This window comes from Homo sapiens, chromosome 5, assembly GCF_000001405.40.
Source record: "Homo sapiens chromosome 5, GRCh38.p14 Primary Assembly".
Taxonomy (NCBI): Eukaryota; Metazoa; Chordata; class Mammalia; order Primates; family Hominidae; genus Homo; species Homo sapiens.
The window spans coordinates 145228337-145244148 of record NC_000005.10 but is presented as its reverse complement, the minus strand read 5'-3'; the positions used below and the strand labels follow the sequence as shown (position 1 = coordinate 145244148).

Sequence of the window (15812 nt, the reverse complement as noted above, 5' to 3'; positions counted from 1 at the left end):
ACCCCGTCTCTACTGAAAATACAAAAAATTATCTGGGCAGGGTAGTTTGTGCCTGTAGTCCCAGCTACTCGAAAGCCTGAGGCAGGAGAATTGCTTGAGACTGGGGAGGCAAATGTTACAGTGAGCTGAGATTGTGCCACTGCATTCCAGCCTAGGCAACAGAGCAAGACTGACTCCATCTCAAAAAACAAACAAACAAATAAACAAACAAACAAGAAACTTGGAAGTAAAAGTTGCTGAGGAAGTAAATATGACAGAGGGAACTAGCAAAGACTTTCATGATTCTAGAAAAATGTATGATCTTCTTTTTGATCCCCTAGGGAAATGGAACATTTATAAAATAATAATGCTGATAATAATAGTAATGATGGTTAACTTTTGTTGAATATTTATTGTTGGCAAGACATTCAAGCAATTCTGTAAACCTTAATTGTATATTACCAAGTGAAATAAGCCAATTTTAAAAGGCTATATATACTATATGATTTCACCAGGCCCTTGGCACTCAATGAATAGGAAATATTTTTAAGAGAATAATGATGAGGATGATGATGGTGATGATGACACTGAGAAAGATGATGTAACCAAACATAGCTTTCATAGCCTTCTTTAACCTTACCTGCCAAAACATCAAAACAAAATTGAGGTGCTAATTGTAATACATAAAATGGACTTTACTATTTCAATGTTTTGCTCTCCTTTTCCTTTTCTTTTTTTTTAATATGAAAAGAAAGATTTACCTAGTTTTATCATTCCCTTTTCATTCTGTTAACCCTGACTATACCTTCATAAATAGCACTTTTATTAAAGTGTCTTCATTTGAGTCTTCTGGGGTGAAATCTGTTTTCTGCTGGCACGCTTACTGATAGAGAATATTCTAAGCACATTTGGCAAACCGATGTAGGACAGAAAGGCATTTCCAACTCTTTTGTGGTTTTGTTGTTGTGTTTGTTCAATTGAGCATAAAAATTACACAGTGAAACAGGTTGAAATGTCTTTTAGTTCTTACTCTGAGTTCCTACTTTGTATTTTCTTTGGACTGTTCTTAATACATTTTCAAGAAAGTATAATTTTCTGTTAAATGCACAATTATTTACAATTTTGTTATATTTGTGTGATTTTATAAAAAGGTCTCTTAGCCACTCTTCTCTTTCTAAAGAATTATACTTCAAATAGAATAATGAAAATAAATGGGAAATGGTATTTAAATATGTATATAAATATTTGTTATATAGCTGTCTCTCAAGAACACATATGGTGGTTAAATCATACCACTAAAAGCTATAAATCACTTTATTAGCCTAGACATTTGTTTTATTTACTGTTTCCTGAAACAAGTATGCTTTTAGGGTGGGGAATGATAAACATTTTACATTTCTGGCATTTGCACTGGAATTATCGGATTAGGGTTTAACCTACTGCCCACAGGTTATTTAGTTGTTCTTTTCTATGATGCAAGCTGGGATTAGGTCAAATGCATCCTATTGGTTACCTTTTTCTCTCATAGACACATCTGTAACTGTTACATTGATTAACTTGATTGTAGCTGTCACTTTGAACATTTTTAGAAAATTCATATGTGAAAACTGAAGTCTGCAGATTACTTAGTGGAGGATTACTTGGATTGCCTTGTAGCACTATCCGGATAACCTTGGACAGACCCTTTAATATCTCTGAATTACAGTATCCCCTCCTGTGGGATGGGAATGATAATACCTTCCTACACAGAAAACTCATTGTGGAGCATGATGCAAATGTAAGGGGAGAGCCATTTAACTCTATATTTAGAAAGATTCATTTGATAGTGTTATTTAATGTCTTATGGTCCCTGGAGACTCAAAACACTCTGAAAAATATTCCAGCTAGTTTCAGTTGGAAGTTCTAACCTTAGAAAGTAAACCATGTGGAAAGTGTTTCATGGTTTATATTTGAATAAATTTTTTGCTTGAAAGCTCATAAAATTTCATATATGTATATATATATTCACACACACATATAAAATCATTTTTGGTATCCTTCTACTTTTCCCTTCCTTTGGTAACAAATAATATTTTTTGCAAAATGAACAATGCTTCAAATTGAGCATTTTTCTTTCATGTCTAGGATCTTCAAGGGGAAAACTTGGGAAATATATTCCTGTTTGGTATGACTTTCCTGTAGACATTTCAGAACTGCAGAACCATTATGGGGAACTTTTTTTTTTATGCAATAGCATTTCTTTTGAATAGTTCTCTTTTTCCCAAAGAATGTTTCCTCCTGGATTTTCTCAGCTGGTACTTTGGTATTTATGGCCTAAGTGATTTAGTAAATGTAAGAAAACGATGTTCACTGGTCAGTGTAAGAGGGAATATGAGGAATCTGTGTCTGTAAGCTGAATAAATACATTTAGCTGTATTGAAATTAACCTCTGTAGCCTGGAGCCAGAATGTGGAATATAAAGAAACAAAGATGTGGGATAATATACATTCTAGATAGATAAATGACCCATGGACTCATATATTATCAAGGTGTAGATTTTCTACAGTGGATTTCAAGTCCTGAACTTTTTACGCCTCTCCATTCTTCATATTTTGAAATAAAATTCTCTCTTTTTAAAAAACAGATAATATGTGATAAAGGAATAACAATAGGCAATTCTATTAGTCAAGAAAGGCTGAGTGCTATGACAAGAGCAACGAAACATGTAAAATGCAATGCGATATACATTTATTTCTCATTGGTGAATGATGGTTGCATGTGGTTGGTGGTGGTGGAGCTCTCTTCCATAGTCATTTATACATCCAGGCTCCTTTTATCTTGTGATTCCACCTGCTCTAGGTCCTTTGGGTGATCTCTATTCTGCTGGTTGACAAGGAAATGAATGAGAATCGTGTCTTCAAGGTATTTATGAGCCAGACCAGTAAATGACACACATCAATTTATCTTACAGTCTAGTCTCATAGATGTATCTAATTGCAAGAAAGGCTGAAAAATTAATTTAGTTGTGTTCCTAGAAACAAGAGAACAAGTAGCATTTATTGAATGCTTACCTGTGCCAGGTACTGTTCTGTGTCCACTTTATGGGTCAAATCACTTAATTCTGAGAACAACCCTAAGAGATTGATACTTTAATTATATCATATTCCAGATGAGGACGCTGAAGCCCACCCAAGGAAGCTCTTTAACCTGTTTGAGTCATAGAGCTAGTGAACAGCTGAGCCAGCATAGGAGATCAAATAATCTGGCTTGAGAAACCAGCTTCGAAATCATTACACATTCTGCTTTTATACACATAAACAAGGTTTATGGAATCACTATAATATTCACTAAATGTAGGAAACAAACATGTTAATTTTTTTATATGTCATCTAAGCTTATAAGATCATAACACCTAGGATTGACACAGTGGTGGTATAAAGCAGTTATAGTATGAAATTCAGTCATAAGCAACAGGAGCCTTTAAAATGGGATTTGCCCTTTGGCCCAGCAATTCTACCGGTTTTTAAAGAAACCCTCAAATAAATACAAGAAGTTGTACGTAGAAAGACATTTATTATAATGTTGTTTAAAATAGCAAAAATGTGGAAACAACCCAGCTGCCTGATAATAAGTATAGTTTCAATAAATGTTGAGATATACACAATGGATTATTTTGTAACTACTAAAGATGAGGATGCACATGGATACTTATAAAGTATGTTTATTTACTATTTATAAATATGTAAATTACAAAATATTGTATATATCAGAAAAAAATATTTTTGTTTAAAAAGTGTATATTTGTATAGGAAAACCTTGGAAAAGACAGAAACAAAATGTTAATATTGGTTAATGCTAGGTGGTGAAATCTTTGGTTTTAAAAACTTTGCTTATTTTTATTTTCTAATACTTCTATAAAAGCATGCTTTCCCTGTCTGATGAAAAAAAGAAAGCAATAAAGCAGAAAGTGAAAATTAAAAAGAAAATACATTTGCTCAATGTAGAGAGTGCCAGTGAGATGTACCCATTTATAAATGCCATAAAACGTCAGACCATTATGAGGAACCATCTATTAAATTCATTTTCATGCATTCAATTATCATATGCTCATTCATCCTATTATCAACAAGAAAGACGCAACCTTGTTGTCAAAGAACTTATTTAGGAGGGAGAAAAGAGGCAAAAGATGTACCAAATTCTGAGAAAACAGCATTCAACGATATGCTTTGCTGGGGGCCATATTTTTATATGAAATAATTTAGCACAAATTGTGGCTGCTATCAATCACATTTAGTTGTCATTATCATCCTTAAGTTATTCAGTGGCAGAAAAACCATTCTCATTTTGCCAGGACCTTACCTCAAATGTCTGAGAATATTCTAAAGAAGCTTCTATAAGGGTCCATTCATCAGATGAGAGGGCCACTTGAGTAGGGCAGAAGCTTATAGAATTTCTTAAGGACTCTTATGGGTTAAAAATCTTCTGAAATATCTCCATGGATAACTTACTAGGAGGCCTTGAATTTCTTTTTAAATAATGGCATTTCCATTTTTCATGGTGTATATTTGAGCTTCTGGAGAGCGAGGCATCAATTTGATTTAATTCAATTCAACAGACATTTATTGTAATTGCATTATATTTATTATAATTGCATTATAGCATTTACCATCACTTCAGGAGGAATCTCAGTAATTAGAGACCTCAGCAGTCAGTCATTTTTGCCTTTTGTCTAAGTGTAGGATACCTCTGGGCCTCTGCTGACCCAGAATACTGTGCTGTAATTGTCTGTTTATCCCAGGAGACAATATCCTTGAGACCAGAGACTATGTCCTCTCATCACTCCAAGTGATTCCTGGAACATGGTAGGCACTCATAATTACCTTCTGGGAAAATCCACTCCTCATTCTTTTGCCCCTTTTTAACATTTAATTGCTCATTAGTATTTCTTTCAAAGGAATTGCTAGAGAATAGCTAGACAAGAGGAGGAATCATTGGTCAGTCATAAACATTTAATGAGATAGCTGAAGAAATTACAGTTCGGATTAGAAGATTATAGCACAATTTTAAAATTAGTACTTGCCCTCGTAGAGCTCATACTCTTACTGAGACAGTGCACATAGTCCCAGAAAAAATGCTTCAGATGTTTAACTGTATGTCACTGAAAAATTCACATTAATGTGTGTGTGTTAGATAGATAGATAGACAGATAGATAGATAGATAGATAGAGACAGATAGATACCCACACATTATTTAATATAAACTAGTATTAGGAAATTAGCTCAATAAAGCAGGTAAATAAGTGATGATTTAGATAATTGATGATTCAGATAATTACGTGACTTCTTTATTGAAGGAAAGTAGTTTTGTGTAGGCTTTCATTTGCATATGAAGTGTCCTAAGTAATTTTAATCACTTCATTCTTAGAAATGTATGGATTGTGGTAATATGAGGTTCATTTATAGGATAGTGGGGACATAACAGGGGAGACCTTTCACAAGGTGGGAATATAAAGTAACAGAGTAGTCAGATGTGGGTGTAGCTATTCTGGGTATGTGAATTTTGAAAAGGGTTTGAAAAAAGTCAAGAAAAAAACATTTCATTCATTTAGTCATTTATTTATTCAACAGATGCTTAGTACATATCTGGCATAGGAGAAAAAGGCATGGAAAAGTAGCAATAGGAAATGTGTAAATAAATGCATTTAGGTTTTACATAGACAAATTTTCTCCACTGAGGTTGACATATTCTGTGGGGGAGTCATAGAACGTCCTGAAATCGAGGAGTGCTGAATGAAATTAAGAGCTAGAAGTGTTGAATAATGGAAGAAACATCCGCATTGATGTCAGCAAGTCCTGGTTTTGAATCTTGGCTCTATTTGTTGAGCAAACTACTGTCATCTGTGAAATGGGGATAACAATTACCTTATATGGATAAGTGAAGCATTTAGCCTCCTAGAATAGCACCCTAGCACATAGAAATGTATAGCAAAAATTGCTTCTCTTCTGTCCTCTTTCTCTTCTGTAATGTGGCCCTTTTCATAGCAAGCTAATAGGGAGGCTTGGGGAACCAAACTTGTTACAGTGAACTCTAGGTGGCGCTCTAGCAATGTAAGAGAGGTTGTTGGAGGGTAGGTCTTTGTGAGAAGGAATGTGGCATATGCCAGGTGCCTGATTACCACATGAAATATGCCCCGTTCCAGCCTAACCTCGAGTAAGCTAGTAGGATTGGAGGGTTGGGGTTCTGTGAAAATACCCATACTCATTTCAGCCATGTGAAGAGCTGTATGTATTTTGTGTAAGACTGGTTAGAGGATCAGTAACACTGACCACTTCTTTCCAGAAGCACAGGAAGGAATGATCAGATGGGGAAGCACATGGACAGGTCATCCAAGGAGAAAAAATAAGTATTTATGCTGATCCTTTATTATCAGTGGTAGAAAAAGTCCAGCCTCATTTGCCATCACACTCTCTGCTGCTGCAACCAGAGGTGTGAGAGTCCTGTGAGAGGGAATGAATCTTTAGAAGGAACCAGGAAAGATGATGGATACAGGGGAAAACACAATATTTCTTTCTTTGAAAGGCTACAAGGGTGGGAGAAGTCGGCTTTAGACCAGCAAACGTGTCATCTGTGTCACCACCTCTCAATTTCATGCTCGTGGCAGACATTAATAATTGATTATGCCAATTTTCCCTGTTGAGATTAGAAATGACTACACAAACATTCTTGTCATAGCGCTCCAGACAACCATTAAAAAAATCATAGGAATTGACACATGTATGAAAGCTCAGCCATAGGCATATATAGCTATCCCACCCTGAGGTTTTTGTTTGTTTTGTTTTGCTTGTTATTTTTCTGTTTGGCTGGCAATGAAATCTAAAGAGCTGTCTTAGAAGATATGTTATGCAGATTTGCTGCAGTAACAAATAACCACACTGTCTTGGTGACTTAGAATAACAGTGTATTTCTGGCTTACATTATGTGTTGGGACTGTGAGTCAACTGCTGTGGCTCTGCTCTGCAATTCCTCATTGCTGCATGGCAGGACACAGGCTCAAGGAGCAGACCCAATTTGGGACATGCAGTTTTTATGGTAGAGGACAGAAGAACAAGAGGGTTGGCAGAAACAAGTGATGCCTCCTAATACTTTTGCTCTGATGTGTATGTCAAGTTCCTCACATTCTTCTGGTGAAAGCACATCTCAAGGCCAAATCCAACATCAACGCAGTGGGGATTGATAACCAAAATGAGTGACTGACACAGGTCTCAATTATGGAGGTTTACTAAGCCAGCTTTAGAATGCATCTGAGGAAAATAAGTGCCACAGACATAACTGTGGCTATTTTTCCAAAGAGGTTGTCAGGAAGTTTAGTATTTATACATTTCCTTAAAGGTGTGGAAGGCATGTAGGAAGAGGGGCAGGTGGGCAGTAAGGTGAATAGTTACATTCCTGTGAGACTTTGGTCAGTGCCCAGTAAATCTACATTTTCCATGAGATAAGGTAAATTTCTGAAGAGAAAAAAGGAAGTAAAAAGAGTCAACTATGCAGACATCTCTGGGTAGGTTGAAGAAATGAGTCTTGAATTTGTTCTGCACTTGGGAAAATAAGCTTGTGATGAACATTATCAATGTGGGTTTTAGGAGCTAGACTTAGATCGTAGACCTAAAGTTACAGTTGGCATGTCCTTGTTTATGGGAGGCCAGCAATTTATTTACTTGTGAATGATCTGTGGGGGCAGCCCTTTGCAGATGTCTGAGGCTTTTACCTTTTCATGAGGATCTTGCTGATGCACAGCGTTAGTAACAGCTATTTCTTTGGAAGAGGGTGTTGCAATGACTCAGCTTCCTCTGGGTTTAAGCATCCTTTTGCATAAGAAGTTTGGGAGGTCCTGAGATTTAAAATTTTCCTTTACAGGATGTATACTCCTTTTAGGGCAGGGATACTGCAAGAGACACAGCTGTGGTTGAGGATATATCATCCTCTTACAGGATGGAGAGGAAATGATCATGCAATCTACCACTGAAGATCCCTTCCTTGTAATCTTATTAAGGCAGCATAAACCATTTATGCACCATAGTTGGTAACTAAGCACCTTTCAGGATTCTTCCTCAATGCCAATGAAGACAGAACCTATGGAAATCTGAGGTCGAGCATCTTCTAGCAACTCATTCAAGTTCTCAGATTGTGGGCTAGCACCTTCTCTTTAGGAAACTTCTCACTACACTCTAAATAGCATGATCTAATTAGACCAGCTAACTTAAGCCAAAATTCTTTACATGACCTGTGCACTGGCTCCTGTTTAGTTTCTAAACACTTTTGACATTCTTCACCAGGACCTTTATTATAGGACAAAAATATTGCTTGAAGTTAGGAACATACTATGTTTTCTTTGCATATGCTCTTCCCTTTGCCTGGGATATGTTTCCTGCTAGGAAACATTTGCAAAGCTTACCGTCTTATCCTATGTACACACATAAGTGTGGCATTTGTCATTCAGCAGGCTCTAGGATGGCAAATCTGCCACTTTTTTCCCTAATAAGAAAATCTTTGTAAGCAAAAAAAAATAATCTTGGGTGTCAATTGAAACAGAAGTGAACCAATGTTTCAGCAAAAGAGCACAGACACATTGTTCTCATTAATCCTAATTTGCCATCCCCACCAGGGACGATTTGAGTGCCAATTCTTGTTGCAAGGAAAGCACCCAATTCTCTATTTCCCTGAGACCTTCCAGCCAGGGCAGTAGCTGACTTCAGCACTCCCTCTGGGCTTGACAGCAACTGAAGGAGCAAATGTACTTAATGCTTGGGTTGACCAATGAGTAAGTTACACCATTTTGAGTGACAGCTATATAATTCTCCAACAACTGTACACCTTACTCAAATAAAAGAACATGCTACAATCACAGGATTGAGGGGCTCTGTCACCTTACCATAAGAATATCGGCCTGTGACCCTCTTTCCTTTCTATACTCTGAAGAGCTGAGTGTTTGACCCTCAGTTACTTGTGTATATATATATATGCTTTTATATACATATTTATGCAGCAATAACAAGAAAGAGAATGGCTCAGTGAAATGCTGATAGTCTGCTAAGGTCACTGAAAGTTGTGCATCTATCTTCACTTCCTGCATCATAATATTATGGTCCTGTTACATTTCCCTTTGATACAAAATATTACATTTCTTTTTACTTAACTGATAGGTGGTTGGAATTGTTGTTTTAATTTTGCAAAATCCACGAAGAGGACCAGTCTCAATATTCTGGAGGAAGAAGAGGACATACTGAGGCCACAGCTCATATAAATACACATTGCCTTGGAAAATACCCTCATCATCCTCAGGTCTCAGCTGTGATAACACTTCCCCTGGGTCATTCTGAGCCAGGTGTCCAGCTATGCGCTTCTATGTGTAGTTTGTGCACTGAATGGGTAGACTCTATTTCTTGAGGCAACGTTTCTTCAGTGTTTAGTCTACTGGTTTGGATGTAGACTAGGTCTTCAGTAAGTATTCATGGAATAGATGGCATAAATGAATTCTTACTGCAGTTGCTTGTTCTTGTCTTGTAGACCAAGGAAAGATCTTGGGTTGGACTAGGCCACCAAGAAAATGGAAATGGGAGTTGGAACGCTTTTTAGGAAATACTCTGACCAAAGCAGACATGTTTAGAATGCAACATTTTTTACCGCTCTGGGCTTCTCCTTTCTTTATAAGGAAGTACTCTAGTGTGGTAGTTAAGGGCAGAGACTAATGACTGACATACCTGGTATTAAGTATTTACTCTACCTTTGGTTAAGAGTAAGGACTTTTTAAGCAAGTTGGTTTAAAACCTCTAAGCCTCAGTTTTCTCAACTGTAAAATAGAATAAATAATAATACCTATCTCATGGAGCTGTTGTGTTGAGTGAGATTGTGAGTGTTTGGGCCAGAGTAAGCACTCAGTAGTTATTAGTTGTTAAAGTTGATATTGCTAAGAATTAGTATATTTCTGATTTGATTATCAGAATAAGAAGAGTCAGGAAAATGAAGTAAAGCTACTAAGTATCTATGAGCAGATTTCAGAAGGCCATATGATTAAAAATTATTGGTAACTTATATTCTCTTGCATATAACCTTCCACTACTGACAACAAATTAAGAATACTCCATGTAAATATAATCAGTATTCAAATAAGGGTGTCTATTTTCCACTCGCTTTGTAGAAAAGTAGCATAAACGTAAATGCAAAGACTCTGAAAGCAGTGTGGTTGGTAAACATTACACTTCCCCTACCCCTGTCCTATTCAGATCCCAAGGTTGGTTATGTTTTAAAAACACACTTGCTTTATTAATCTGATTTAAGATAAAGGAGGAGTTATTAATTATACATAATGCTTAGGCTAGCTTGTAAGAAACTGACATTGTGGCCTTTGTTAATAGAATTGCTTTCTTAGTGATTACTCAGTAGGGGGTGATACTAGGTGCCCTTTGTTGCAATAGAAACGATGTTTACTGCCACAGAAGACAGGTAGCTGTGGCCTGAATGGACTTTCTCCTTTCCATAACTGTCCTGAGAGATGCTGGGTCAGCATTTCCGACCTTTTTAAGAGGCAAGTCTGCTCTATCTTCTCAGCTGTAGGTCAATGAGAGTAGATTACCTTTTCTAGTTTTGATTTTAGATTCCTCACATCAGTGAGGAATTCTAATGTCCAACAGGGTTGTGGTGACTGCCTTCTCCAAGTCCGTCTTCTTTGAAATGACAGCATGGCAGTATCAATAGCCTCATGAAAAAGGTGGAATTTCTCCTCTGAAAACAATGTTCTACCTCAGGATAGGATGTAAGGGCATGCCTGTGGAATGAGAGACAAGCAGAATTCCTACCTGGAATACTATGTATGTGTGGTGAAAATCTGAACTTCACATTTTGAGAGGAGCAGACAAAGAGAACCTGGTTCAGATTATGTTCTTCATTTTAGTGGAAATAGCACTGGATTTAGAATCACATAGATTTAAGTTTATGTTCTGCCTCTTGCACATTCTAGCAGTATGATCATGGGTAAATTGGCAGACCCCTCTGAGCCTCAGAGTGCCATTGTTAAAATTAGTAATATATAAGAATCACCTTCTAAAATGCTTGCAAGATATTAAATACATAACAAATGGTAGTTATTTCAAATAGCAGGGGTAGTAGTATAAATATCTATATATGTATATATATATCTCCACACACACACACGTATATATATATATACATACATACATATATATTTTATTTTGGACCAATGGAAACTTGTAGAATAATATTAATGATAAATTACACTGAGTGCCTACTATGTGATAGATTGTTATTTTTAATATGTATATTATCTCATTTAGTTTTATACTCATGAATGTTTAGGAGGTGGGTACTATTATTTGGTAGATTAAGAAATTCAGAAATAAAGAATAAATTACTGAACATGAAGAGGTGATATAGTCTTCTGAGACTTCTGAGTCACATGAATTTTTTTCTATTACAGAGGTAATTTATCCAGAATTTTCTATTTACCCAGGAGGGAATAGATAGTCCCATGAGACAAGATTTATTCATTAAGTTGCCAGTCTAGTTGAGACACAAAAATATATGTCCAAATAACGAGTGATCAAGCCTTATAATTGGTGGCCATGATACTGTTTAGAGAGAAAGACTCAACAAGACCTTACTCTTCTTTTCCTTCTTCATCCATTCGCTCCTCTACTAAGTAATCATCTGGGGCACTCATTCTAAGGTCAGTGCTAGGTACCAGTGTGGAATCTGGCCTCAGATTTCCTGGGTTGGAAGCCCTACTTCCCCACTTATTTGCTGGCTGACCTCAGGCAAGCCACTGAATTTCAAGGTTCAGTTTCTTCATTTGTCAAGTGGGCATAACAATAATATTATTCACCTCTCAGTGTTGTGAGAAATGAATAAGAGAATGTATGTTAAGCTGCTAATACAACTTCTGGAATATAATATACACTTTATTATCATCATCAACAACATCATTATTACTTTTGAAAAGATACTTTCTGTACTCTGGGAATGCTAGACATCTCACTAAGGCGTCACTCAGCATAACCAAGGATATATTATGGTTCCATTAACCTCTACACGAGACACTAGTGTCCTAAAAGTTTCAATGTGTTTTTAAAAAATCTGATACATTAGCTAGGGTGGTGTATGCATGAGTGAGCGTGTGTGCAAGACACAGAGAGAGAGGTTTCTAAATTACTCCCTGAATACAGCATTCTGGGAGCAACATCCAAGCAGAGTAAGCCACAAAAACAGTGGACAGAGAAGAATATTCATTTTGGGGCTGATGTCTCCTCCATTGCTCCATAGAGGAATATTTAGCAGAGTTTGACTTAAATATCCTGACTCATAGGAACAAGAAGACACCTTCTCTCTTCAGTTTTCCATCCAGGGAATAGTTTAGCAACTCTAGTTCCACTCTCCCACCAAGACATCAATACACTGATTTCAGCTTAGCAGAGAGAAGAAGATGGTAAAGTTGAACGTGCTCAGATAAGTGTGGGGGATTCAGAGGTTGACTGTCCAATGTTAGCATATCCTGTGAAGCACTTCAGACTCAATTCTAGTGGGCGGTCAAACTGTCCATGAGAGGTGCAACTGTTTAATCCTATTATTTATTTATACAAACTGTCCTGAAATTGCCAGTGCAGATTTTAAATCACTTTATAAAGCCTTAAAAATAACCATAGTGTCTTGCATTGTCCCTTGTTTCCTGACTCTCTCCCTCAGTGTAGGCCACTGTTACTGGCATGCATGGGATCAGCATTATATTCAGTTTAGAGTGGGTAATCTTTTGGGTTCAGTGTTTACTGCACAGGTGATGGGTGCAGCAAAATCTCACAAACCACCACTAAAGAACTTATGTAACCAAATACCACCTGTTCCCCCAAAACCTGTGGAATTAAAAAATAATAATATAATGTCAAAAGTCATGACAAAAAATAAAAAAAAAAAGAGTGGATCATCTTTAGGACCTGCCCTGGTTTGTAATGCAGGCATTGCAGAATATAGCAAAAGCCTGGAATAGACCCTGTGGTGGTTTTTAAAATATGTCAACACAATGTTAATCTTCCCTTTGAAAGATGGGCTCTGATTTCCCTCTTCTTAACTGTGGGTTGTATTTAGTGACGTGCTTCTGATGAACTGAATATGGTTGAGGTGAAAGTGTGTAATGTTTGACATAAGGGTATATAAGGCTTTCTCCTTGTTATCTCTCTCCAGAAAGAAGCCAGCTACATTGTCATGAAGACACTCAAGCTGACCTATGAAGAGGTCCATGTGTTAAGAAACTGCGGCCTGCCACCAACAGCCATGTGAGTGAGCCATCATGGAAATGGATTTTACAGCTCAATTCAAGCTTTCAGATGGTGGCAACCTGGGCTGACATCTTGAGCACAGCCTCTTGAAAAATCTCTGAGCCAAAACCAACCATTTAAGCAGCTCCTGAATTTCAGACCCACAGATATGCTGACATAAATGTTTATTGTATTAACCCATGATTTTTCTTTTTAATCACACAGTACTAGCCTATTTTGGCAAATCTTTTTCAAGAGACTCTTCATTTTTTTCTTTTCTTTTTTTTATTTTTTTGAGACAGAGTCTCGCTCTGTTGCCCAGGCTGGAGTGCCGTGGCTTAATCTCAGCTCACTGCAACCTCCACCTCCCAGATTCAAGCAATTCTCCTGTCTCAGCCTCCTGAGTAGCTGGGATTACAGGCGTGCACCACCATACCCAGCTAATTTTTGTATTTTGTATTTTTAGTAGAGACAGGGTTTTACCATGTTGGTCAGGCTGGTCTCAAACTCCTGGCCTCATGATCCACCCACGTCAGCCTCCCAAAGTGCTGGGATTACAGGTGTGAGCCACTGTGCCCTGCCTTTTTTTCTTTTAATTGTCATTTTATAGCTCTCCACCGCAGCTTCCCCACACCCTTCCCTTCCATGATGATGTTTACAGGCTTTGGGGGGACCACGGAACAAAGCTGGGGCCTGGCAGCCCCACTAGGTTGCCAGCTGGGGAGAACAAGGCACAATTACAAATTATCACAACAATTAGCACCTGTACTTGGGGGATCTGCAAATTGAGGAGGCCCCAGCTCCTCATGGTACAGGGGTCTATCTGGCAGTGAACTTACTCTGGAGACAATGGTATTCCTTCAGTCTGAGGGAGTTGATGTTGATGAACCCGGTGTCATCAATCGGCTCATAATCACCCTGCACGTTCACGCTCATCAGCTCCTCATTGTAGAGAGACAGTGGGGACTCCCAGCCAAGGATGTACACCTGGCCCTTGAGGACCGGCACCTGCACTTTCCCTTCTGCCGGCTCCTGGGACTTGGCGATGCAGGGGCGGACAAATTCACACTCAGGGCTATGTCAGAAACTGGTGTATATCAGCTCAGCAAATTTCAAGCCCAGGCCTTGATTGGTTTTGTGCACTTCCCGGTCTGTGGTGAAGACCTTGATGTCTAAATGAGCATGGTAAAGGATGGTGCCTACTGGGGTCTGGTAGATACCTTGGGCCTTTGTCTGGTGAAGATGTTCTCCACGATGGCAATAAGCCCACACCGTGCTTGCCTGCAACTTCGTTCAGGTACATGAAGAGCTCCAAGGAGGTCTGGTGGGTGGTGCCATCCTTGACGCTGGTCACCCTCACGGGGACTCCTTTTTTGAATTGGATCTTGAGAATGTCAGGGGTGTTGGGGGCTTTGGCTGGGTCCTGGATCTTTGTGTAGAGACCTGGAGGCACTTGGTTCTTGGGGTTCTCCAGGATTCCAGCCTTGTAGCTGATGTGCATGAGGTTCTTGTCGATGCTCCACAGGTTCTTGGGAGTGACCAGGATGGGAATCCCGTGTTGCTTTGCATATTCCATCAGGTCACTGCGGCCCTTGAACCAGTTGTAGAACTCGGGCATCCTCCAGGGAGCCCTCCAGGGACCTTCATCTGGGGGGCCAGCGAGTAGCAGATGAGCTCAAACTGGACCTGATCGTTCCCCTTTCTTGTGGGGCTGTGGGACACACACTTGGCCCCCACCCGCTGGACGGTTTCCACTTTTTTGTGGGCGATGCAGGGCCTGGTGAGAGAAGTACCCAGGAGGTAGTGGTCCTCATACAGTGCGCTGGACTGGATGGCCGCCCAGATGAACTCCTCCACAAACTCCCTGCTGACATCCTCAATGAACACCTTTTTGGCTCCAAGCTTCAGTGCCTTCTTCCTGGCTTCCTCGAAGTCTTCCTTCTGGCCAGTATTGGCCAGGTAGGCAGTGACATCATAGCCTTGTTCCTTCAGCCACACGAGGATGCAGGAGGTGTTCAGGCCACCACTGTAGGCCAGAACCATGGAGCCTTTGCTGGACATAGCGTCTGGGATTGGAGGCGTGAGTTCCCGGTGTCTGGAATCTGTCTTCACGGTGCAGTGAACCACTCGGGCCCGAGCAGCGGTGGCAGGCGACAGAGCAGGTGACTCTTCATTTTTTTTTTTTTAAGAAAATAGACTCACACAAAGAAATTGATGAGTTGCTGAAGTCAGGGATTATATGTCCCCTTGCTAGCACCTCCAACTTCTAATTGTTCCTGGGCTGGCTGTGAGGTCAGGGACTGAGTACAGAATCACACCGTGGCATGTATGGAGGAGGGAATACTTAGGAAGCCCAGCTAGTCTTATGAACACCATGTGAGGACTTATCTTTAGCTGATGGGCATAGTATCCTTGCTCTAACAAGAATCCCTCAGGTTTAACAACATACATCTTGCTTGCATGGTTGATATATAGACATTATTTTTGGTTTCAATAAATCCATAAAAGTCAACCTCTATGGTTTTAAGGGTAAGAAA

General features: G+C 38.9%; 1 protein-coding gene and 1 pseudogene across 1 annotated transcript in view, besides 1 other annotated feature; one reads left to right on the top strand and one right to left on the bottom strand.

Moving 5' to 3' along the window:
* The window catches only part of PRELID2 (PRELI domain containing 2), a 606358-nt gene extending 591194 nt beyond the window's left edge, over positions 1 to 15164 (top strand). Inside the window, exon 10 of the transcript XR_007058586.1 lies at positions 13202 to 15164. The gene's annotated coding sequence lies outside the window, so the exon portion shown is untranslated. The remainder of the gene's footprint in view (positions 1 to 13201) is intronic.
* Positions 10109 to 10610: an enhancer, noted in NCBI's record as "NANOG hESC enhancer chr5:144613102-144613603 (GRCh37/hg19 assembly coordinates)". NCBI's record gives its function as "activates a minimal SCP1, AML or CMV promoter by ChIP-STARR-seq in naive H9 embryonic stem cells {active_cell/tissue: H9 hESC(naive)}" and the evidence as "EXISTENCE:reporter gene assay evidence [ECO:0000049][PMID:30033119]".
* Positions 13864 to 15438, bottom strand: ASS1P10 (argininosuccinate synthetase 1 pseudogene 10; annotated as a pseudogene).